Here is a 23,662-nt window from a genome sequence, read left to right as displayed (position 1 = left end):
AGCTACTCCAGTGGCTGAGGCAGGAGAGTTGCTTCTCTCCTGCCTCAGCCTCTAGAGGTTGCGGTGAGCTGAGATCCTGCCACTGCACTCCAGCCTGGGCAACAAGAGCAAAACTCTATCTCAAATAAAAAAGAACATTGTATTCAATACAAATTACTATACTTTACAAAAAATTGGCTGATTAGTTTGGGTTTTAATCCTCTTTGTTCACTGATTTGCAAGTGACTGAGCAAGTCTATTGTTTTCATCTGTATTGTAGGGAAATCAGCTTTGTGCCTGCTCTATAGCAGTGATTCATCAGTGAGTAGGCTTATTGGTAAGCTGTCTTGCTCAGGCTAGGTTGATCTGGGCAGAGTTAGTCCTGGGGGCGGGACTAGACCAGGGGCTTTTTGAGGTACCTGTTTTCATATAATACTACATATTATCACTCTTACATTTAACCAAAGAGAGTAAGTGAACTGTTTCAAAGCAGAGAAGTCTCAAGTATTTGGGAAACAGCTGTCAGCTATTTTAGAGGTTTAAAATTGGTAACGTTTATGAGAAGATTTTTGCTAGTGAGAAAAGGAGATACAGAGACTTTAATGTGATTATCTGAAGTCACAGTCTTTCCTGTGTGTTCATCTTGTCTCTCAGACCAGAATGTTTTCTCAACTACTATGTGGTGACAGCTGTATTGTAAAGATATCCGGGATTTCTTCATTTGTCTTTGCCAATATGCAAGGTGGGGTAGGGTGGCAAGTAGGACCAAACCTAAACTGAAGGTGCAAGGTGGGGCTGGAAAATTGTAGCTGTGAGTGGGAACTGCTTAGGCAGATAGAAATGGGGGGGCACAGGGGAGTGTAGTGCTCCCTGTTTTTGTTCCATCCTGCAGACTGGGTTTGCCCTGTTTGCTCTAAATTTAAGATTAGTTGAGACTTCCCCTCCCCGCCCCCCCCCCAAAAATACAAGCAGTCCAAAACAGAATATGTTCCCACCCATTATTTATCGGGAGAACTTTAGTGTCCTTTTGGTCTTAAAGCATGTGCTCAGTTACCCTCTCTCTTCCAATAGTCAGGTGACTAGTTCTTCTTATCTTTCTTTTAACACTAACTTTGTTTCTGGTGAACCTGAATCTAGACTGATCCCTTCATCAGATTGCAGACACCTCTGTCTGGGTTAACGCAGTCTTCTTAGACATCCCACAAATACACCTGTATTTACTCTATGGAGAGTATTAAGTTAAAGAGGCTTGAGCTTCCTTCCTTTTCAAGTGGCTGTCTTAATAACGACAGTCCTTACATTTACCTCAGTGCACAAATTCAAATTAATGATAAAGGCAGTATTGCTTTCCTACATTGTCTCAAGGGGAAGGACGAAACTCTTGATAAATGTGTTAAGTACAGGGAAGGTATTTCCGTAAGAATCTTGTGATATCATTCTTGGGCATATTTGGTCTAGCACTCACAAGTCAATGTCCTTCTTTAGTGTGGTACAATGGCTGGGGTTAAAGATGGATCAGACTAGTTTAGAACCACAGTTATTATAGTTTAAAGTGGTTCTCAAACTTGGTTGCATATTGGAAGCACCTGGGGTAGCTTTTGAAAAATATGAGCTCCTATACTCCCACCACCAGAGATTCTGATTCAATGATAACAACTGACCTTCTGGATTTGAGTCAGTAAAAGCTCTTATTTGTCCATAGTAGTGACTCAATCTCTAGCATACTCCAAATCTCAGTTCCTTACTTCATTTCAGGTACTGTTAAAACCTGAGCTTTTTACCCCATTTTTGTTGGTTTGCAGTTATTCTGGAAAGATGGACATATGATTATGTCTGTTTATTGAGCATTCAGTTTTGTAATGCAACAGCTATGTAACCAGAGATGATCTTTGTCACTGGAGAGCAATCAAGTACCTCTGTTTAAAAAAAATTTTTTTTTCACTCTTGAGCAGCTTCATGATATTCAAGTACCTCTCTTAATAGCAAAATGCCCTCATAATAAGTTAGTCCTTAATTGCACTTGGTCATTCAGCAAATATTTATTCAACACCTATGATGTGCTAGGGATAGGTTTGGATACTAGGGATATGCCAATAATACATTATTTCTGTTTTCATAGAGTTTACATATTTTCCTTTTGGTGGAGGGGATAGACCAAAAAAAATTAAATACATATACATGTTACTCATATGTAATGTGCTGTCAGGTAGTAGTAAGTATAACAAAAATAAATAGTTAAGCAAATTAAAAAGTCCTTATTTTCCCACAATTTAATAAATTACTTGCATTGTTTCTTTCAGATACAAGTTAATGCTGGTGAATCCTGTCCTGGAGGTTGCCTTTTGTCTGAAAATAGCTATTAGAACTTTACTGTCTCTCCTCACTTTTCTCTGTATATAACAATATAATACAAGATAGTAAAGGACAAGATAGATTTTGAAAATGTATACTTAAATTTAGTTATGGATAGTCACCATGTATATTAATGTAATTTTTACTGTTGCTGCCTAATGAGAAAGCCTAATTATTTTTGCATACTTTCTCTTGTGAAATATATACAGAAAACAGAGTAAATATATACTCATATAACCATCACTAAGGCCAATAAGTAGATCATTTTCAGCATCCCAGAAGCCCCCTCCTCCATGTGCCCTATCCTGATCATAATTCTCTACCTTCTCACTTTTGTAACTACCAACCTGACTTCATTTCCTTGCTTTCTCTTTATTATTTTACCCTGTATTTGCATCCCTAAAAGACCTAATTTTGCTTGTGTTTAAACTCTGTCTGTGTAATTATACTCTGTATTTTGTTTTGCTTTTTCTCTCTCAACATTATGTTGGAGAATCATCACTATGTGCTATGGAGCTATGTGCCATTGTGGATGAATATTTTACAATTTATCCCTTCTAGTATTGATGGATATTTGGGTTATTTCCAGTTTTTGGCTTCTATGAATAAGGAACATTTTTGTCCATCTTTTCTATTAATAGGGCAGGGGTCCCCAGTCCCCAGTCCCCAGTCCCCAGGCCGGTACTGGTTCATGGCCTGTTAGGAAGCAGCCGCACAGCAGGAGGTAAGCAAGCATAACTGCCTGAGCTCCGCCTGTCAGATCAGCAGGGGCATTAGATTCTCTAGGAACAGGAACACTATCATGAACTGCACATGTGAGGGCTCTAGGCTGCATGCTCCTTATGAGAATCTAATAATGCCTGATGATGTGAGTTGGAACAGTTCCATACTGAAACCCTCCCCCTAACCCCTATAGAGAATTTGTCTTTCACAAAACCAGTCCCTGGTGCCATAAAACGTTGGGGACTGCTGCTATAGGGCATATATCAAAGAAAGGACTTGCTGTCATAAGGTGTGTTATGTTTCAACTTTATTACTTTTTTTTTTTTTTTTTGCCAAAAGTGACTTCCCAACTTGCACTTAACCAGCAGTTTGAGTTCCTCTTGCTCCACATCTTCACAAATACTTAAATGTGTTTCTGAATTGTTATAAGTGAAAAAAAACTGTATTAAAAAAATCTATTCAATTATTCAAAGTTGAATTTCTACTTTAGAGGAATCACTTCCCAGGCCGGGAGCGGGGGCTCACGCCTATAATCCCAGCACTTTGGGAGGCCAAATTGAGTGGATCACTTGAGGTCAGGAGTTCAAGACCAGCCTGGCCAATATGGTGAAACCCCATTTCTACTAAAAATACAAAAATTAGCCGGGCGTGGTGGCGGGCGCCTGTAATCCCAGCTACTCAGGAGGCTGAGACAGGAGAATCCCTTGAACTCCCGAGTAGTTCAAGGGACATTGCAGTGAGCCGAGGTCGCGCCATTGCTCTCCAGCCTGGGCAACAAGAGAAAAACTCCGTCTCAAAAAAAAAAAAAAAAAAAATCACTTCCTAGAGGCAAAATAATGGAAATAATAAGGAGTGCTCGGATTGTGCAGCATACTAAGTGCTTCATGTGAATTTTCTCATACTAAGTGCTTCATACTAAGTGCTTAAGTGCTTCACGTGAGTTTTCTCACGTAATCTTACTAAGTGCTTCATGTGACATACTAAGTGCTTCATGTGAATTTTCTCACTTAATCTTAAGAAAATTCTGAAACAATAGGTCCTTTACTATATTCCCATTTAACATAAGGAAAATGAAGGCAACATACTAAGTGCTTCATGTGAATTTTCTCGCGTAATCTTAAGAAAATTCTGAAGCAATAGGTCCTTTACTATATTCCCATTTAACATAAGGAAAATGAAGTTCAGAGATGTTAAATAACTTCAAGTCACTTAACTAGAAGAGGTCTAATATTAGAGACACAAATTCTAGGTCTGTTTGCCCCTAAAGTTCAAGTTCATGGTGATCATGCTTTATAGTTCTTTCTCCCTCTTTCAAAATATTGATGTGACTCTGAAAATTGATCCTTGAAGAATGGAAGGGTTAACTTTTGTTTGTGATCCTGGGCAGATCTTTGAGAGGTTATATTTGTACAAAAAATGAGGAAAACGGATCGTCTGCAACATCCTGTGATTTTTTCCACAATTACTTTATTTCTACAATGGCTATGCCACACTTCGCTGGTAAAGTTTTTGATCTATACCTGAAAAAGAGAAATGCTAATAGTATGTTGTAAACTCCCAGTTTGGGCAAGCCCCAGGACCAACAGAAAACAGTCCTTAAGTCATTGCCGGTCCCAGAAACGGTGTTGTAGCCTGAACTCTCATTGTTTTCAAATATAATTTTAACTCTTATTACGTCATTAAAATTACTGTGAAGCAGTCATTAATTGGAAAGCATGTCATAATCATAAATCACCTTGTTATTTAGTGAACTATGCTAACTGCTGTGAGAAATACCAAGGTGTACCTAGATGTAGTTACAGCCATCAAGGAGCTTAAAATTCAGTGGAAAGGTGGTGTCGCCAAAGTTAGTTACCTATGAACTTATGAGAAAGGGTAAGGAGTATCCTAGAACGATGGATTCTGGAATTGTCAGTGAGCTTATTGTTGAAACGGCCTCAGCAGCTCTCTGGCTGCTCCTAAGGGTGGTCTGTTTTTCTTACCAAGGGAGCAGTGAAACAAAACTGGCTTTATTCGGTCTGTTGGGAAGCAGACTAGAATGTAAAAAGTATTGCAAAAGTTGCCACTCGAGTCCCAACCCTAAACGCAGTTGCCTGAGGGAGGGCTGCCCCGGGCATTTAGTTACAAGAACGCAGTCTAAATCTAGTTTTTTGACTCAAAGGTAATCGTGAGCTGGCCGCGGCACCGGCTGCCTATCCTGGCCGTGAATGTTTGCTTTCTCTGCCCTGGTCTCAGGACGTCCGTTTCGAATAGATCAAGCACTTCTCTGTCGGCAGCTTTCACAAGAGATCTCGTTTTATTTAAAGAGATATGAGGTGTGCGTGGAATTCCTTCTTTGCCGAATGGCGGCTTCTACTTCCGCATATTCAAAGTCGGCAGTAGAAGTTGCAGAGGAGAGCGCAAAGCCGGACTTGGCCACACCCTGGGCTTCCGGATTTGGGCACAACAGTTCTCTCCAGTCAGAACGCCTCCCCACGGTTCTGCCCCAAAATGCTATTTTTGCTCAGGTCCTCAGCGCGTTTCCGGTGTCTCCAACGGATGGAGAAGACGGAACCACAACGCCAAGGCAGACCCCGTGACTGATTTAGGTGAGGTCTCGCGAGGTGTCTTTAAATCTCACGACGACAGCAGGAAACGACTTACTCGCACCGCCCCAATTTTAACGTCACAGTGGAGTTACTCCCTTGGGCGTTTCTTAGCGTGCGCGTGCGTGCTGCGCATGCGCACTTACTCTCCCCCGCCCCCGCGCAGACTTGTCTCCGGCCAGTCGCGCGTGGGTAGAGGCCTTAGGCGGGCGTTGCGAAGGGTTGTTTGCTAGAGTTCGGACCTTGTTACGGCGCGAAGTTCCCTCCTTGGGGCGGGGGAAAGGTACCGCACCCGCTACCTAGTGTGAATGAACTGTGGCGTGGGCTGCTAAGGGCAGGCTGCGGAGTACCCGGGCCGTGGCCATGAACTCACCCGTGGACCCTGGCGCTAGGCAGGCGTTGAGGAAGAAGCCACCCGAGCGGACTCCCGAGGTGAGGCTGGTTGACCTTTATGTGCGTCTCACAGTCCAGTAGACAGCATCCTCCTGTCTGTCCGAAATCCGCGGCGACTGCCCTCTTGCCAGAGTCTCGCACCTGCTACTGGGAATCTGTTCGCTTGAGTCTCTTCCCTGACCCAGGCCCTTGTCGCCAGCAGGGTGCCGACCGCCCTTCCTGCCTGTGATGCGGTCTTAACCCGCGTACCCGTCCTTGCCGGGGGCTTCTGAGTGTCGTTAAGAAAGCACCATTACTAAGTCGTATTTTCTGAGTTGGGTAATATGAGTTTCGCAGTTAGATGCCCATTCGTTTAAGTAGACTATGAAAAACGAGATGGAAATTGTAAGGGAAGTATCTCAGCCATGTAATTTAGAAATAGTTTTTCTTTAAAGGTCTCTGAAATATTGTACAGTTGCCTAAAAAAAAGATAAAGTTTTCAAAGTTAGTTTAAAAGTTTACATCCAGTCAAATGGTGAATTCTGTAGTAGATGATGCATGTTTAAAGAACACCACTGTAGGTACTTTTTCAGACTGTCACTGGGAAATTTTACAGTATTTTGTACTTGGATCCAAAATTTGCTGTGTCGAGTTAACAGTTATGGCATCAGCTTAAAAGATTTTTCATTCGACCTTCATGAAGGCTAGTTTTCAGGCATATAACTAAAACCTGTTAGCTTTGCTTATCCCGGTAGAATGCTAAGGTTTTGGGGAAGGTTTTCCTTGATTTGGAGGTTTCTATAACAAGTGGGACATATTTTCTAAACAAAACACTAAACAGTGTGAGTGGATTATTGGATTGTTTTGTTTAAAGTTGCAGTAAATGAAATGAAATGCTTTGGTTAATTCTTCACTTTGGAGTTTTTCAGATATGTAGTGTTTTGCATACTGAGTCTCAGTAACGTTGGGCTGACCTTTTGGGTCGTGACAATTATTCAGGTCACAACGGAAGCCATGATAGGTCAAATTATGTTATTGAAGATCCTGATGTTTGCATAGGAACAACACAAATTCTACCACTTTCCAGAGTTCTCTTTTTGAGATATACATTTATAATTCGATGAGTGTTTGTTTCCTTATGATGATTCTTGAAGTCAATGTGAGCTGATTTATGAATTTCAGTAGGCGAATTATCTTACAGCCTTTATAGCATTGGAAAGTATTATACAAGGCTTACGATGTGTATTGCAGGTTTCAATTTAATTTAATTTAATGTTATTTTATTTTTTATTTGAAACAGTCTCACTCTGTCACCCAGGCTGGAGTGCAATGGCGCGATATTGGCTCACTACAACCTTTACCTCCCGGGTTCAAGCGATTTTTCTGCCTCAGCCTCCGGAGTAGCTGGGATTACAGGCAGGCGCCACCACGCCCGGCTAATTTTTTGTATTTTTAGTAGAGACGGGGTTGCACCATATTGCCCAGGGTGGTCTCAAACTCATGACCTCAAGTGATCTGCCCGCGTTGGCCTCCCAAAGTGCTGGAATTACAGGTGTGAGCCAAGTTGCCCGGCTGCTTTTAATTTTCAACATTACTTGTGCTACTAAATTCACATTTTAATGGAAAAATCCTACTGCTCTTTAACAGCAGAATTATTTATTTTGAAATTGCCTATTTTATTTTTTTTGAGACAAAGTCTCCCTCTATAGCCCAGGCTGGAGTGCAGTGGCACGATCTCTGCTCACTGCAACCTCCGCCTCCTGGGTCCCGGTTCAAGTAGTTCTGCCTCACCCTCCCGAGTAGCTGAGATTACAGGCACACGCCACTATGCCCAGCTAATTTTTGTATTTTTAGTAGAGACGGGATTTCACCATGTTGGCCAGGCTTGTCTTGAACTCCTGACATCATGATCCGCTCGCCTCGGCCTCCCAAAGTGCTGGGATTATAGGTGTGAGCCCCGCGCCTGGCTGAAATTGCCTATTTTTGAGCCTTAGGAAATTTTCTAAACTGTTCATAAAGTTATGTTGGCCACTGTGTGCTGTGTTAAGTACTTTATTGTGCTTAATTGGAACAGAAGCATTGTTCAAGGGAATGCTAAACAGCTGCCCACAGTACACAGAATGTAGCCCTGACATCTAGCAGCATAAGAGGTTAACTGATGCATTGGTAGTGCTTTTGAATGAGTGTAGAATTTGTTTGGGGTAAAGAAGTATGAAGAAGGAAATCTGAATCCTAGTGATGATTTGTTTGTGATAAATAATTTGACAAAATTCTCCCAAGTTCATTTCTGTTTTCAGAAGGTCCTTTTACTGGACTCCCAAGGGTCTATTATGAATATATTAGCTCTATAGTTGCTTATTGGGAGTCTAGCAGCTGAAGGCACTAGTCTGTGCACTATGTTGTATCCATAAACAAAGCAGGTCTGCCCTAGTAAGACTTACATTCTGATAGCATGAAGAGTGGGGAAGGCAGATAATGAATATACTAAAAGGTAAGTTACATAATATGTAGCTTATAATTGCTAGAAAAGAAAAGAGCAGAGTAAGAGGGATTGAAAGCAAGGGGCAAGGGCTGGGTTGCAGTTTAAATAAGGTGGTTCGTTTAACTTGGTTGAGAAGATGATTTTTGATCAAAGACTTGATGCATGTGATGGCATTAACTATAGGGGTATATGGAGAAAGTGCTTTCCCAGCAAAGGGAGCAATCGTTGCAAAGGCCCTATGTTGAGAGCATGTTTTGATGCATTCCAGAAATAGCAAGCAGCTTTGTGTGACTGGAGAAGGGTGAACAGGTGTGAGAGTAGTAAGAGATGAAGGAGGAGTGGAGATAATGATGCATAGCATAGGGCACATCCTATTTGACTTTTCAGTGAGGGGGAGCACTGAAAGATTTTGAAGCAGAGGAGTGATATTGACCTACTTAACCTTTTTTTTTTTTTTTTTTTTTGAGACAGAGTCTTGCTCTGTCACCCAGGCTGGAGTGCAGTGGTGCAGTCTGGGCTCACTGCAATCTCTGCCACCTGAGATCAAGCGATTCTCCTGCCTCAGCCTCCTGAGTAGCTGGGACTACAGGTGTGTGCCAACACGCCCGGCTAATTTTTTGTGTTTTTAGTAGAGATGGGGTTTCACCGTGTTAGCCAGGATGGCCTCAATCTCTTGTCCTCGTGATCTGCCCGCCTTGGCCTCCCAAAGTGCTGGGATTACAGGCGTGAGCCACCACGCCTGGCCTACCTTTTTGTTTTTAAAGAGGGTCTCACTATATTGCCCAGTCTGGTCACTAATTTCTGGGCTCAACAGATTCTCCTGCTTCAACCTCCCAAGTAGCTGGAACTACAGGCATGTGCCACTACACCTGACTACCTTACTGGGTAGTCTCCTGGCTGCTGTGTTGAGAATAGACTGTAGGTGTTTAAGGGCAAAAGCAGGAGGTTAACGGCTGTTATTGCATAAAATCAGGTTAGAGATGATGGTCACTCTGACTAAAGTGATAGTGATAGTAATGGAAGTGGTGAGAAGTGGTTAAGTTTTAGAAATATTTTGTAGGGTTAGCCAACAGGATTTGCTAATAGATCAGATGTGGACCTTGAGGAAAAGAGAAGAATCAAGCATGACTTCAAGGTTTTTGGCCTAAATAACTGGAGTGTTGGAGTTATTGTCAGAGAGGTTTGAGCTGCCATCAGCGAGATGGGAAAAGCTGCAGGAGGAGTAGGTTTTAGGGGCAAGATCAGAAATTCAGTTTTGAACATGTCAAGTTTGAAATGTCTGTTAGAAATGAGTAAGAGGTTGCATATACAAATTTGTATTACTAAGAAGCCTGAGCTGGAGATAACAATTTTATAGTCATCAGTTTATAGATATTGAAAGTCATGAGACTGGGTAAAATTACCAAGTAGTGAGTGTACGTAGAGAATAGAAGAGGACCAAGGACAGTGAGTACCATGGGACATGAGATCAGTATAAGGTCGGGGAGAAGAGTAGAAATCAGCAAAGGAGAATGAGTGGAAGCAAACAGTGCAGTAGGAGAAAAACCGAGAGAGTGGTGGTGCCCTAGAAGCCAAATTAATAAGCTGTAAAATAGAAGGGGATAAAATTATTTGTTTGGCTTATTTTTCCTTGAATACCTACTGGGTGCAAAGCGTTGTGAAAAATATACAAAGGGATGAGAATTAGTATGTTGAAATCATTTGTTTGCATCGTGTAATTGATGAGTAAATAATGAGTAAAGAACTCCTTGTGTTTCTGGGACAAAATGAATGGTTCCTTTATTTTGAACCATCTGTCGTCCTTAGGTGAAACTATCAACTCAGGCATAATCCTAGTGAGCCAGACATCAAGTACAGACACATGTTGTAAAGTGTGCCATTTAGATATCTTTCTAACACAGTGTGTGTGTGAGAGATTTCTCCTACTTATAGATTCAGCTTCCACAGAACATTGTCTTTCCTGAGCTAGTTCTTTCTCAATTTGCAAAGATATTCTTATGGAAAATTTCAGACTTAAATACTCCATGGACAATTAAGTGCACTAAAACAACAAAAACTGTTAAGGTACAGACATACCTCCCAGATACTGCAGGTTTGGTTCCAGACTACTGCAGTAAAGCCAATATCCCAATAAAGTGAGTCACGTGAATTTTATTTCCTAGTGCACATAAAAGTTGTTTACACATATAGTAGTTTATTGTGTGTGATAGCCTTATGTCTAAAAAAAGATATATGCCTTAATTTAAAAATACTTTATTGCTAAAAAATACTAACCAGTCATCTGAGCCTTCAGCTAGTTGTCATCTTTTAGCTGGTGGAGGGTCTTGCCTTAGTGTTGATAGCTGCTGCTGACCAATCAGGGTGGTAGTTGCCGAAGATTGGGGTGGCTGTGACAGTTTCTTAAAATAAGACAATGAAGTTTGCCACATCAATTGACTTTCTTTCATGAAAGATTTCTCTTTAGCATGTGATGCTGTTTGATAGCATTTTACCTACAGTAACTTCTTTCAAAATTGGTGTCAGTCCTCCCAAATTCTGCTGCTGCTTTATCAACTAAGCTTAAGCTTATGTGGTATTCTAAATTCTTTGTTGTCATTTGAACAATATGTACATCATCTTCACCAGGAGCAGGTTGTCTCAAGAAACCACTTTTTTTACTAATGCATAAGAGGCAGCTTCTCATCTACTCAAGTTTTATCATGAGATTGCAGCAATTTAGTCACACCTTCAGGCTCCATCTTCATTTCTTTTTTTTTTCTTTCCTTTTTTTTTTTTTTCTTTTTCTTTGAGACAAGATCTCATTCTGTTGCCCAGGTTGGAGTGCAGTGGCGTAATCACAGCCCACTGCAGCCTCTACTTCCCAGGCTCAAGTGACCCCACCTCAGCCTCCTGAGTAGCTGGTACTACAGGTGCATGCCATCATGCGTGGCTGATTTTTTTTTTTTTTTTGTAGAGACGAGGCCTTGCTATGTTGCCCAGGTTGATCTTGAACTCCTGGGCCCAAGCAATCCTCCCACCTTAGCCTCCCAAAGTGCTGGGAGCCAGCCCAGGCTCTATTTCTAATTCTAGTTCTCTTGCTATTTCTACCACACATGCAGTTGCTTCCTTCACTGAAGTGTTGTACCCTTCAAAGTCATTCATAAAGGTTGGATTCAACCTCTTTCAAACTCCTGTTAGTGTTGATATTTTGACCTCCTCCCATGCTTCACAATTTTTTTTTTCTTTTAAGTGATAGTCTCAATACATTGCCTGGACTGGTCTTGAACTCCTAGGCTCAAGTGATCCTCCCACCTCAGCCTCCCAAAGTGTTGGGATTACAGGCGTGAGTCACCATGCCTGGCCCACAGATGGTTTTAATGGCATCTGGAATGATGAATCATTTCAAGACAGTTTTCAATTTTCTTTTCACAGATCTGTTAGGGAATCACTGTCTATGTCAGCTGTAGCTTTATGAAATGTGTTTCTTAAATAACAAGACTTGAAGGTTGAAACTTTTCCTTGATCCATGGGCCACAGAATGGATGTTGTATTAGCAGGCCTGAAAAAAATCACTAATCTCCTTGTGTACCTCCATCTGAGCTCTTGAGTGACAAGATGCATTGTCAGTGAGTAGTAGTATTTTGAAATGAATCTTTTTTTCTGAGCAGTGGGTCTCATCAGTGGACTTAAAATATTCATTAACCCATACTGTAAACAAACGTGCTGTCATTTAGGCTTTGTTGTTTATTTACTGAGCACAGGCAGAATAGATTTAACATAATTCTTAAGGGCCTTAGGGTTTTCAGAATGGTAAATGATCATTGGCTTCAACTTAAAGTCACCAGCTGCATTATCCTCTAACAGGAGTCAGCCTGTCCTTTGAAGCTTTGAAGCCAGGCATTGATTTCTCCTCTCTAGTTATGGAAGTCTTAGGTGGCATCTTCTTCTGATATAAGGCTGTTTTGTCTACATTAAAAATCTGATTTTTAGTGTAGCCACCTTCATTAATTATCTTAGCTAGATCTTCAGGATAACTTACTTTTTATGTTAGTGGAGGTGGCTTTTTTTCGTAAACTTCATGAACCAACTTCCACCAGCTTCAAACTTTTCTTCTGCAGCCATCTCATCTCTCAACCTTTTTAGAATTGAAAAGTTAGGGCCTTGCTGTGGATTAGGTTTTGGCTTAAGGGACTGTTGTGGCTGGTTTGATGGTTTATCTAGACCACTCAAACTTTCTCCATATCAGCAATAAGACTTTTTCACTTTTTTTTTTTAAATCATTTTTTTGTTCACTAAAGTAGCACTTTTAATTTTCTCCATGTGCCTTTTCTTTGCATTCACAACATGGCTAACTGTGTGGTGCAAGAGGCCTGGCTTTGGGCCGTTGTTAGCCTTCCTAAGTTTAATCATTTCTAGCTTTTGATTTAAAGTGAGAGATAGGTGACTCTTTTCACTTGAACACTTAGGGGCCATTGTAGGGTTATTAATTGGCCTAATTTCCGTATTGTTATGTCTCAGGGAATAGGGAGGCCCCAAGAGAGGGAGATAGAGAAGGTGGAACAGCCAGTGGAACAGTTGGAACACATACATCAGTTACGTTTGCCATCTTACATGGGCACAGTTTGTGGTGCCCCAAAACAATTACAGTAGTAACATGAAAGATTGCTGATCACAGGCCACCATAGCAAATATAATGAAAAAGTTTGAAATGTTGTGAGAATTACCAAAATGTGACACGGAGACATGAAGTGAGCATGTGCTGTTGAAAAAAATGGTGCTGTTGGACTTGCTTGATGCAGGGTTGTCATGAACCTTCAATTTGTATTTAAAAAAAAAGAAAACAACCCCACAATACCAGCCAAGCACAATAAAACAGAGTATGCCTGTACTTCTTTGCGTCATTATGCCAGAATTCCTTAAAGAAGCCACAGTCATAATTAGACCTTGAACTTGGCTGTTTCTCAGCTCAATCCACATTTAATACCATTCTTTATAACGTTCCTTTTTTTACTTCAGAATGAACTCCTTATATTTCCCTTAATGTTTATTTCCCTCTCAGTGCTTAATGCCATGATTTGCACATATTAAATGATGAATAAATATTTTACAAGCCAAAATTTGGAAATACATTTTGTAAAGTCATCATATGTTAAAAAGGTAGCACTTCGTATTCATTGGAACTGCTAACTTTTTGTTTCTTGGACAGTCTTACTCAGCAGCTTGGTTTCAGTTAGTTGTTATAGGCTAATGCCTCCTAGGATTATGTTTTCCAACTTATCCCCTAAATTTTATGTGCTTCAGCTTCATATATCAACCATCTTGTCCTCCAGGTTCTTCAACCACTTGTCCTAAATTGAGCCATCATTATTCCTCTTCCTTCATAATCTGTTGGCAGCTGGCCGAGTTGCTGTCTCTAGGAATTTGTATTATTTCTCTTCATTCCTCATAGATGCAACTTGCCACTAAACTTTGTCCCCTGAATCTTTTTATTTGCCCTTTTCTTACAAGTTTTACTACTCTAATTCAGTCTGTTTTATTGTTTCTACCCCCAAATTATTGCTTGAGTCATTGAGTCTTGCTGCTAGAGTGATCTTCCTCTCAGATCTGATTATGTTCTACTCTTGCTCAGAATTTTATTTCCTATATTTCCTAGGTATAGATTAACAATATGTTGTTCAAATCATTTTTGTGAATTAAAAGAGAAGCTGTTAATATTTATTTCAGAGTAACAGGTTAAAGAGGGACTGTCCCGCTTAAACTGAGATATGGTTACCTCACCCAGATGATAACATTAATTTGTACATTCATTTAAGAAATAATATATCTGATATATTAAAAACCAAGGTTGTAGAGAGGAGTTAGACATGGTCCCTATTCATCAATGACTTGGGAGACATAAGAAAACATAAATGTAATAAATGTTTTAGTTATTAGTGACAAAGGTATGAGTAGGGCTTTGGGATTGCAAGATGGGGAAGGGAACAAGCTTCATGGGGGAGCATTGAATTCCCAGTGTTAAATGTCATGAATTGATTTCTGGATGATCAAGAGAGGTCATTCCAAGCAGAGAGGCAGGAGCAAAAGTACTGATGATGGCAAGCCATGTATACTTGTAGAATAAGAAGCCAATCTGTAAGTCTAGAGCAGGCATTCCCGTTGGAAGTGATATCGCTCCCAAAGATGCAAAAATTGCCTTTTATGGGAGTGGGAAAAAAAATCACAGCTATTGGTATGGTTTGTGGCCCTCTAAAACTCAGCCCTAAACTGACAGTGTCTTATTCTTTAGTATTTAATTAGAGATGGGGCAGTGCTTACGAAAAATTGTCTGAAAGGTTCTTTGGGAGGGGATGAAAATGAAAAAAAGGTTGCAGAACACTGGGGCTAATGTCTAGGATGTTTGGGGATGATGGTACATGATGTGAGATGTTTAATGATGAAGCTGGACGTACTAGCAGGGTTTGGATAATTTCAGAAATTTGGACTCCATCTTATAAATAAAGGAGAAAGAACCGTTGCAGGGTTTAAAGCCTGGAAATAAGATCAGTTTTATAAAGACTACTATGTGAGCATTTTGGAGATGTAATTGAGTGGGGAGGAGCAGACTAGAGACAGGGAGGCTTATAGGTATACAGGTAGACTGGACATGTATTTTATCCAAACTGGGATATTTTCCATGTGAAAGGTAAGACTACTAGTGATTATACTAAGATAATATGGAAACCAAGAAGTATGGTTTTTTTTTTTTTTTTGAGACGGAGTCTCTGTCACCCAGGCTGGAGCGCAGTGGCGCTATCTCGGCTGACTGCAAGCTCCACCTCCCGGGTTCACACAATTCTCTTGTCTCAGCCTCCCGAGTAGCTGGGACTACTGCCGCTCGCCACCATGCCTGGCTAATTTTTTTGTATTTTTAGTAGAGACGGGGTTTCACCATGTTAGCCAGGATGGTCTCGATCTCCCGACCTCGTGATCCACCCACCTCGGCCTCCCAAAATGCTGGGATTACAGGTGTGAGCCACCGTGCCCAGCCACCAAGAAGTATGTTTTGTTGTTAGAAACAAATACAGTAGTTCAGGTGTGAGATAAGGTCCTGGACCCAGTGGTGGCAGCAGTTAAGTGGGATAGTGAGGTATTAAGGAGGTAGAATTGGCCCAACCTGGTCACTGGTTGGAAAGATAATTTCTCCTCCTCCCCCAGACTTTTTTGAAAAACTTTGAAATGAACTATAAAACATAAAGTCCATATGCCCTAAATATACATTGGCAGATGATTAATTTGTTTTGTTTGTTTGTTTGTTTTTTGAGACGGAGTTTCTCTCTTGTCTCCCAGGCTGGAGTGCAGTGGCACAATCTCAGCTCACCGCAACCTCTGCCTCCCGGGTTCAAGGGATTCTCCTGCCTCAGCATCCCAAGTAGCTGGGATTACAGATGCCTGCTACCACACCTGGCTGATTTTTGTATTTTTAGTAGAGACAGAGTTACACCATGTTGGCCAGGCTGGTCTCGAACTGCTGACCTCATGATCTGCCCGCCTCGGCCTCCCAAAGTGCTGGGATTACAGGTGTGAGCCACTGCACCCATGCCCGGCTACTTTTTGTATTTTTAGTAGAGACGGGGTTTCTCCTTGTTGGTCAGGCTGGTCTCGAACTCCCGACCTCAAGTGATCTGCCCGCCTCGACCTCCCAAAGTGCTGGGATTACAGGCGTGAGCAACTGCGCCCAGCCATTGCCAGATTAATTTTTACAAACATATTTTACTGTGTGTATCATGATACAGAATACAGATAAAGAATATTACCAGCACTCCAGAAATTTCCCCTTTTTCCTTCTCAGTCTCCCAAAGGAAACCACTCTTCTGGTTCTGTCATTGCAGATTTTTTTCTTTGTGCCTTTGAACTTAATTTGAGTGGAGTGTTTTTGTTTGTTTGTTTGTTTGTTTGTTTTGTTTTTAAAGACAAGGTCTTGCTGTGTTGCCCAGGTTGGCCTCCAGCCCCTGGGCTCAAGCAATTTTCCCAAGTAGCTGGGAGTACAGGTGTATACCACCATGCCCAGCTCATTGTAAGTATTCTTTCTGGCAGCCAAGAGGACTATGAAGCTACCTTGGTTCTTTGCATTTTGCCTTTGTATTGGACTTTTAACCTCCTCTCTTGGGGCTTTCCTTGCTAGTCATCTGATTATCTATCCTTTATATCCTGACACTAAAATCTCTTCTGTTTCTGTGCATTGCATAGGATGGGAACAGTATGGTAACGGTGTCACTGGCCTTTGAATTTTGCATTTGGACAAGCCTACTTCAAATCTGGACTCCAGTTCTGAGAATTTGACCATAGGCAAGTTATCTAACTTCTCTAGGATTGAATATCTTTTTGGGATTCTTGTGTGGACCAAATGAGATAATATATGTGAAATAATTAGCAAAGTATCTTGATAATAAACAGTAAATGATAGCCTACATATTAGCTGACTATTTTCTCTGTCTGGAAAACCATCCTCTGGCCTGGTACATTCTGATTCTTCACTGAAAGCTCTAGTGCTCATTTGCAGAATTGTGCATCCTTCCTTCCTCACTTTTCCACTCCTCTGTGTTCCTAGATACTTTGCGCCTTCTTCCACCGTAGTAATTACTGTGCTGTGTTATGATTACTTGCATATTTCTCTCTGATTGTAAGCTCCTTGAAGACAGTGAGTGTACCCTTATCTCCCAGTGTTCATTACACAGTACTTGGTACATAGTAGATATCTAAATATTTGTAGAGTAAGTGACTTTAAAAAGAAAATCAAGGCCGGGCGCAGTGGCTCACGCCTGTAATCCCAGCACTTTGGGAGGCCGAGGCGGGCAGATCCCCTGAGGTCAGGAGTTCGAAACCAGCCTGACCGACATGGAGAAACCTCCTCTGTACTAAAAATACAAAATTAGCCGGGCGTGGTGGTGCATGCCTGTAATCCCATCTACTTGGGAGGCCGAGGCAGAAGAGTCGCTTGAACCCTAGAGGCGGAGGTTGCGGTGAGCCAAGATTGTACCATTGTGCACTCCAGCCTGGGCAACAAGAGTGAAACTCTGTCTCACAAAAAAAAAAAAAAAAAAAAAGCAATGTGAAAAATACTGTTCCTTTACTATTCTAGTAGTGATTTCTACTGGTCTAATATTTAAAGTGTTCAGATAAAAAGGCTTGATGAAGTTTGGCAAAATGGCAAAATGTGCTATTACTATTCTCATTAAGAATAAAGTAGAGTTGCCATAAACAGTGTTTTACTTGGCAGTTCTTGAGAGACAATTCAGATGGAGGAAACTTAGTAATATCTTGAAAGAAAGATTCCTTTTCTGCATGGCTTCAAAACACATTTGCAGGGAACATCACAGAAAAATATAGATTAATGCCCATTTTAACTGTTTATGTTCTTTCACCAGATGATTCAAAACGTCTGGGCAAATTTTCATGCTCTGCTAGGTGTTAACGTAATTGCCTACTTAGAAGAAGTTTTTTTGTTTTGTTTTGTTTTGTTTTAGAACTAGGTATTTTTGGTTATTAAAAAGTTAAAGAAGGAGCTGGGAATTTAAAAAATGTAAAATTTAGTATAACCATTTATTAATCTGTTACAGAATTTAGAAAAATGGTCTTCAAATGTACACTTGCAGAGTTTTTTTCTGAATTGGCGAGAGAGCACCATTGTACTTGGAGTCATTTTTGGAGTGAGTCACTGTGCACATCCCTGGTTGGCAGAACAAAGATTCTGTTGTGCTTTCCCACAGCAGATGCACATTCAGAGGGTTCCTTGGAAAGAAAAAGAACTTATTTATACTTCTGGGGCCCCTTGACCTTCATTTGTAAATCCAGTTGGATAGAAGGGGAATGTTAGATCTGGATGAGACCTGGATTATCTGGATGAACATCTTTTCCAGGCCCATCATTTTACGTGTGTTGGAGATTCCCAACTCGATGAGCTTGACTATAGAATGAGCGATTTTATTAAAAACTTTAGATTGTGGAGGCATAAGCAACACATGTTTGAGGCATAAGCAACGCATGTTTGGCATTACATGCCAAAGGTGAGACACATTCTCCACTATTTTAATAAAATTGCTCATTCTGTTTTTATTTACAGCCAGACCTTAGTTTACCTAGGCTGGTCCAAGGTAAAGTCAAATGATAAACACAGTGTTATAGAGTTCACAGTCAGTCTGTCCCTTGCAAAGACCAAGATTTTTGTCGTGTAGTCAGGCTCATCATGCCTGCCTCCTTCTTCCCTTTGGAGAATTCTGAGGGAAATTCCTCAATCTCTCAGAATCAAAATCTTAAGTGTCTAAACTTCCAAATGACTGCAGCTTTTCTCAAGTTAAGAAGCCAAACTAAAATAGGTTACCATCCTCTTTTTTTTTTAGGAAAGAGTTTATGAGTGTCACAAGTGCCTGGTGTGGAGTTTGGATTATTTATAGGATTATTAAATGACTCTCTGAGGCACAGGTGAATACATAATTTTTTTGAGGGAGATTGCCTAATGAACATTTGTGCGGTAAATATTAAGTAAGCACTGTTTCATGTGCCAGGGATAAAAGATTAAAGATAGTTCTTCCATCTGGGGAGGAGATAGCAAAACACATGGACAATTAAAATATGGCCTAATTAAATACTGTGATAATTATAAATATCAGGTGCTCAGAAGTTTGTAGGAAGGCCTTTGGGGGAGAAGAGCAAAGGGTAGGCAGGTGCTGTTCAAGTTGTTTTAGAAAAGGGAACCCTGATGAGTTTAGGATACAGTTGGCCCTCCATATCTGTGAGTTTTGCATTTGTGGATTCAACCAACCGAGATTGGAAAATAAGTTAGGCCCATGATCGTTGTGCCTGTGCTGAACAGGTACAGACATTTTTCTTGCTAGTATTCCCTAAACAATACAGTATAGCAACTCTTTACATAGCATTTCCACTGTATTAGGTATTAATAAATAATCTAGAGTAATGATTTAAAGCATACAAGGGCCAGGTGTGGTGGCTCGTGCCTGTAATCCCAAAACATTGGGGGCTGAAGTGGATCCTCAAACTCCTGGCTGCTTGAGCCCAGGAGTTTGAGACCAGCCTGGGCAACATGGTGAAACCCTATCTCTACAAAAAAGTACAAAAATCAGCAGGGTGTGGTGGTGCATGCCAGCTACTCAGGAGGCTGAGATGAGAGGATCGCATGAGCCCAGGAGGTTGAGGCTGCAGTGAGCTGTGATCGTGCCACTGCACTTCAGCCTGGGCAACACAGTGAGACCCTGTCTGAAAAAAAAAGAAAAAGAAAATAAAGCCTACCAGAGGATGTCTGTAGGTTATATGCAAATACTACACCATTTTATATAAGGGACTCAAGTGTCTATGGGTTTTGATATCCACAAAGGCTCTTGGAATGAACCCAGTGGATACCAAGGAACAACTATATATAGAAATTTAAGTGTAGAAGGGAAGGTGTGTTTCTTGAAAGGGTAACAGCATATGCCAAGGCCACAGGATACGTATGGTATGTACATGCAAGTTGCCTAGGCAGCTGGAACACTGGGACAAGAATGAATGGTAAAGTAGATGAAGCTGGAGGAATTGTCAGGATCCAGATCATGAGGAATTGTGTTCTCCTTATTAAGGAATTTAGATTTGGCTTCCAGAAAGATCGCTTTGGCAGTATATGTGAAGAGTGGATTTTACCGTGGGCATGGTTTGTCATGCCTGTAATCTCAGCACTTTGAGAGGCCGAGGTGGGCAGATCACTTGAGGCCAGGAGTTCGAGGCCAACCTAGCCAACATGGCAAAATGCTGTCTCTACTAAAAATACAAAAAATTTGCTGGGCATGGTGATGCGTGCCTTTAGTCCCAGCTGCTTGGGAGGCTGAGGCGTGAGAATTGCTTGAACCTGGGAGGCGGAGGTTGCAGTCAGCTGAGATTCAGCCACTGCACTCCAGCCTGGGCAACAGAGTGAGACTGTGTCTCAAAAAAAAAAGAAAAGAAAAAAAAAAGAATGGATTTTAGAATCCAGTTATTTCAGTTATTCACTGGGAAATACTGAATTTCTAAATTGCCTCATTTGCAATAGTAAACGGAGATATTTCGAAAGTAGAATTGACAGATTTCTGGCCAGAGCCAATGAACCTGAGTACTGTTAACTAAATTAGGGAACCAGTAATGAATTTTGCACTTGAGTTGCTGATGGGTCAGCCAGGTTGAAAGTGTTCAGTGTCCAGTAGAACATATAGTATCTAAGTTTAGTGGAGAGCTTTGGGCTAGAAATACAAATATGGGAGTCATAGGCATATGTGATAGTTGAAGCTATGGATGTGGAAGGTATTCCTAACAGTAGAGAGTCTCTAGTGAATAAAAGGCAGCTGTTGGCAGTTCTGGTAACATAAACTTTATAAACATTTATAGGAATAAGAAAAAAATGAGAAACCTATGAAGGAGACTTAGATGGAGCAGATGGACCCAAAATAACAAAAAGTAAAAACTGAAAAAAAGCAGCCGCCGCAGAAAGCTAATAATGGAAATAAAATACTGAAGACTTGCATACTGTATGGTGGTTATTGGATGCCTGTTGCTGTTATGAAAACTTTATATACATTTAATCCTTCAAGAAACCCTGTGAAAGAAGGTATTATTATCCACATTTTACATACGGGGAAATTGAATCACAGAGAGATTAATTAGTCTAATGTCACACAGCTAGACCCAGTGTAGTCAGGATTCAAACCTAGGCAGTCTGATTTCATAGTCTGTGCTTATAATCGTTGCTTAATGTTTCTCATTAAGACGAGAATCCAGAAAGAACCATATTACAGAAGGGATAGGAGAGAGAATGACATGTCAGCAGTCAAATGCTGTAGAGAATTCGAAGAGAGATAAGGATTGAAAAGTACATGTGGAATTTAGAATTAACAAGTATTAGGTGACTTCATAATGCATGGTAGGATCAGAAAAGTGAAGTGAAAGGCTACACTTTGAACTTATAAACAATTGGATGCTCAATCTTTTGATACGTTGTAATTTCAGTGGTTAATTATTGAAGTCCTAAAGTTTAAGCATATCATTGAGACTTTCATTCTTAAAAATTAAAATTTTAGGGTGTAATTTTTTAAAATTATACTTTAAGTTCTCAGATACATGTGCAGAACGTGCAGGTTTGTTACATAGGTATACACATGCCATGGTGGTTTGCCGTACCCATCAACCTGTCATCTACATTAGGTATTATTTATCCTAATGCTATGCCCCCCCGCCCTCCAGCCCCGCCGCAACAGGCCCTGGTGTGTGATGTTCCCCTCCATGTGTCCATGTATCCTCATTGTTCAGCTGCCGCTTAAGAGTGAGAACATGCAGTGTTTGGTTTTCTGTTCCTGTGTTAGTTTGCTGAGAATGATTAGTAAATGCGTGAGCCACCATACCTGGCCATCTCACACCTCTGTTTCATTTTTCAATCCAGGGTCTAGTCAAGGTATGTTACGTTACATTTGGTTACCATAGTCTCCTTTAATCTAGAACAGTCCTGTTTTTTTTTTTTTTCCTTTCATGAACATTGCACTTTTGAAGAGCCTGGCCGGCTGCCTTATAGAATGTATCATGATCTGGATTCATCTGGTTGTTTTCTCATGATTAGATTAAGGTGAAATGATTTTGTTGAGAAACTGCATAGGTGGTGGTCTGTACTTCCCGTATTGTCCCATCACTGACACACATTGTCAGTTCTTTCCATTATTGGGCATACTAAATAGGATCATCTGCATCTCTTTTGTTTTAAAGGTACAATGCTATAATTTATAAGTGATCCAAAGTTATAGTTGGAGAATGTGTGAATGTCGTGTTCTCCAACAGTGGTTTTACCTTGTGATTTTAGCATTCATTGATAATCCTCACCTAAATTAACTATTACTTTGCTGTTACAAAGTGATAATTTTCTTTTTTTCTTTTTTTGAGACAGAGTCTCCCTTTGTCACTCAGGCTGCAGTGCAGTGGTGTGATCTTGGCTCACTGCAGCCTCTGCCTCCCAGGTTCAAGCGATTCTTGTGCCTCAGCTTCCTGAGTAGCTGAGTCTGCAGGCATGTGCCATCACACCCGGCTAATTTTTGTATTTTTTTTTAAAGTAGAGATGGGGTTTCCACTGTGTTGCCTGGGCTGGTCTGGAACTCCTGACCTCAAGTGATCCTCTCACCTTGACCTCCCAAAGTGCTGGGATTATAGTTGTGGACCACCATGCCTGGCCATAATTTTCTGATTCTATATTTCTTTTACATTTGTTAGTTGTTTTCTGTATAGAAGAGCTTTCCTCACCTTCCTTTCTCCTCTCTTTTTTAAATCACTATGAAGTAATGGATTATTTTTTGTGTTCAATATTGTCATCCTTTTTAATTATTAAAGTGCTCCAAATATAGCCAGTGGAAGCCCTTTCAAAGTCAGGTCCTATGTCCTTTTGATGTGACCCCATTAGTCTTTAAGTACTTTTTTGCTTTCTGGCATAAAAAGATGTTCCAGGTCCTGACTTTCTTTGCTCTAGTACTGAAGTCAGCCGTTTATCCAAAGAACTTCAGTCCCCTTTAGTGAGAAATGAATTTAGAAACCAAAGTCTGGGCTCCAGTTGTGGTAAATGTTTTATACCTCTTTACTGCCATTTTGCCGAATGTTGTTTATACCTCCATGAATGAGAAAATCAATAAGTTCTATGTTTAATATATGGTATTAACTTTGGCATATTGTTTAAATCTCCAAAATGCTTTAGTAGTCTGTGTATTTTAATCCTTATTTTGTAATTTTAGAATATATTTACCATGTGATAGCCTCTCTGCTGCACATTTAATAAACATTTAAAAATTTTGTATTTTTAGTAGAGACGGGGTTTCACTATGTTGTCCAGCCTTGTCTCGAACTCTTGACCTCAGGTGATCCACCCACTTCGGCCTCCCAAAGTACTGGAGATTACAGGCGTGAGCCACTGCTAACTGGGGGTGGTGGTGGGCGCCTGTAATCCCAGCTACTCAAGAGGCTGAGGCAGGAGAATCGCTTGAACCCGGGAGGTGGAGGTTGCAGTGGGCTGAGATCGTAACACTACACTCCAGCCTGGGCAACAAGAGTGAAACTCTGTCTCAAAAAAACAATCGTTTGTGTTCAGAGATATTTTATCTTTTCTGTGGTACAGATAATAAACGTTAAGCAGATTATCCAAGTTTACACAAGTAGTAACTAA

The 23,662-nt window shown here is 40.8% G+C and overlaps 1 protein-coding gene across 6 annotated transcripts in view, besides 6 other annotated features; it reads left to right on the top strand.

Annotated features, from left to right (window-relative positions):
- Window positions 4,703-5,902: an enhancer, noted in NCBI's record as "BRD4-independent group 4 enhancer chr5:130970824-130972023 (GRCh37/hg19 assembly coordinates)". NCBI's record gives its function as "activates an origin of replication core promoter dependent on BRD2, P300/CBP, MED14 and CDK7 cofactors, and independent of BRD4, by STARR-seq in HCT116 cells {active_cell/tissue: HCT116}" and the evidence as "EXISTENCE:reporter gene assay evidence [ECO:0000049][PMID:35650434]".
- Window positions 5,235-5,434: an enhancer, noted in NCBI's record as "active region_23058". NCBI's record gives its function as "activates an Ori minimal core promoter by ATAC-STARR-seq in GM12878 lymphoblastoid cells {active_cell/tissue: GM12878}" and the evidence as "EXISTENCE:reporter gene assay evidence [ECO:0000049][PMID:35858748]".
- Window positions 5,445-5,694: an enhancer, noted in NCBI's record as "active region_23057". NCBI's record gives its function as "activates an Ori minimal core promoter by ATAC-STARR-seq in GM12878 lymphoblastoid cells {active_cell/tissue: GM12878}" and the evidence as "EXISTENCE:reporter gene assay evidence [ECO:0000049][PMID:35858748]".
- The window catches only part of RAPGEF6 (Rap guanine nucleotide exchange factor 6), a 211,309-nt gene continuing 193,450 nt past the window's right edge, over window positions 5,804-23,662 (top strand). For all 6 annotated transcript variants that reach the window (NM_016340.6, NM_001164388.2, NM_001164386.2 and 3 more), the window contains exon 1: window positions 5,804-6,071. In NM_016340.6, coding sequence (NP_057424.3) covers window positions 6,003-6,071 — 69 coding nt within the window. In that variant the 5' untranslated portion in view covers window positions 5,804-6,002. The remainder of the gene's footprint in view (window positions 6,072-23,662) is intronic.
- Window positions 5,995-6,084: an enhancer, noted in NCBI's record as "active region_23056". NCBI's record gives its function as "activates an Ori minimal core promoter by ATAC-STARR-seq in GM12878 lymphoblastoid cells {active_cell/tissue: GM12878}" and the evidence as "EXISTENCE:reporter gene assay evidence [ECO:0000049][PMID:35858748]".
- Window positions 5,995-6,614: a biological region, named in NCBI's record as "NANOG-H3K27ac-H3K4me1 hESC enhancer GRCh37_chr5:130970112-130970694".
- Window positions 6,032-6,614: an enhancer, noted in NCBI's record as "NANOG-H3K27ac-H3K4me1 hESC enhancer chr5:130970112-130970694 (GRCh37/hg19 assembly coordinates)". NCBI's record gives its function as "activates a minimal SCP1, AML or CMV promoter by ChIP-STARR-seq in primed H9 embryonic stem cells {active_cell/tissue: H9 hESC(primed)}" and the evidence as "EXISTENCE:reporter gene assay evidence [ECO:0000049][PMID:30033119]".

Source organism: Homo sapiens, chromosome 5 (genome assembly GCF_000001405.40).
Source record: "Homo sapiens chromosome 5, GRCh38.p14 Primary Assembly".
Classification (NCBI taxonomy): domain Eukaryota; kingdom Metazoa; phylum Chordata; class Mammalia; order Primates; family Hominidae; genus Homo; species Homo sapiens.
This window is presented reverse-complemented; position numbering and strand designations above follow the sequence as displayed.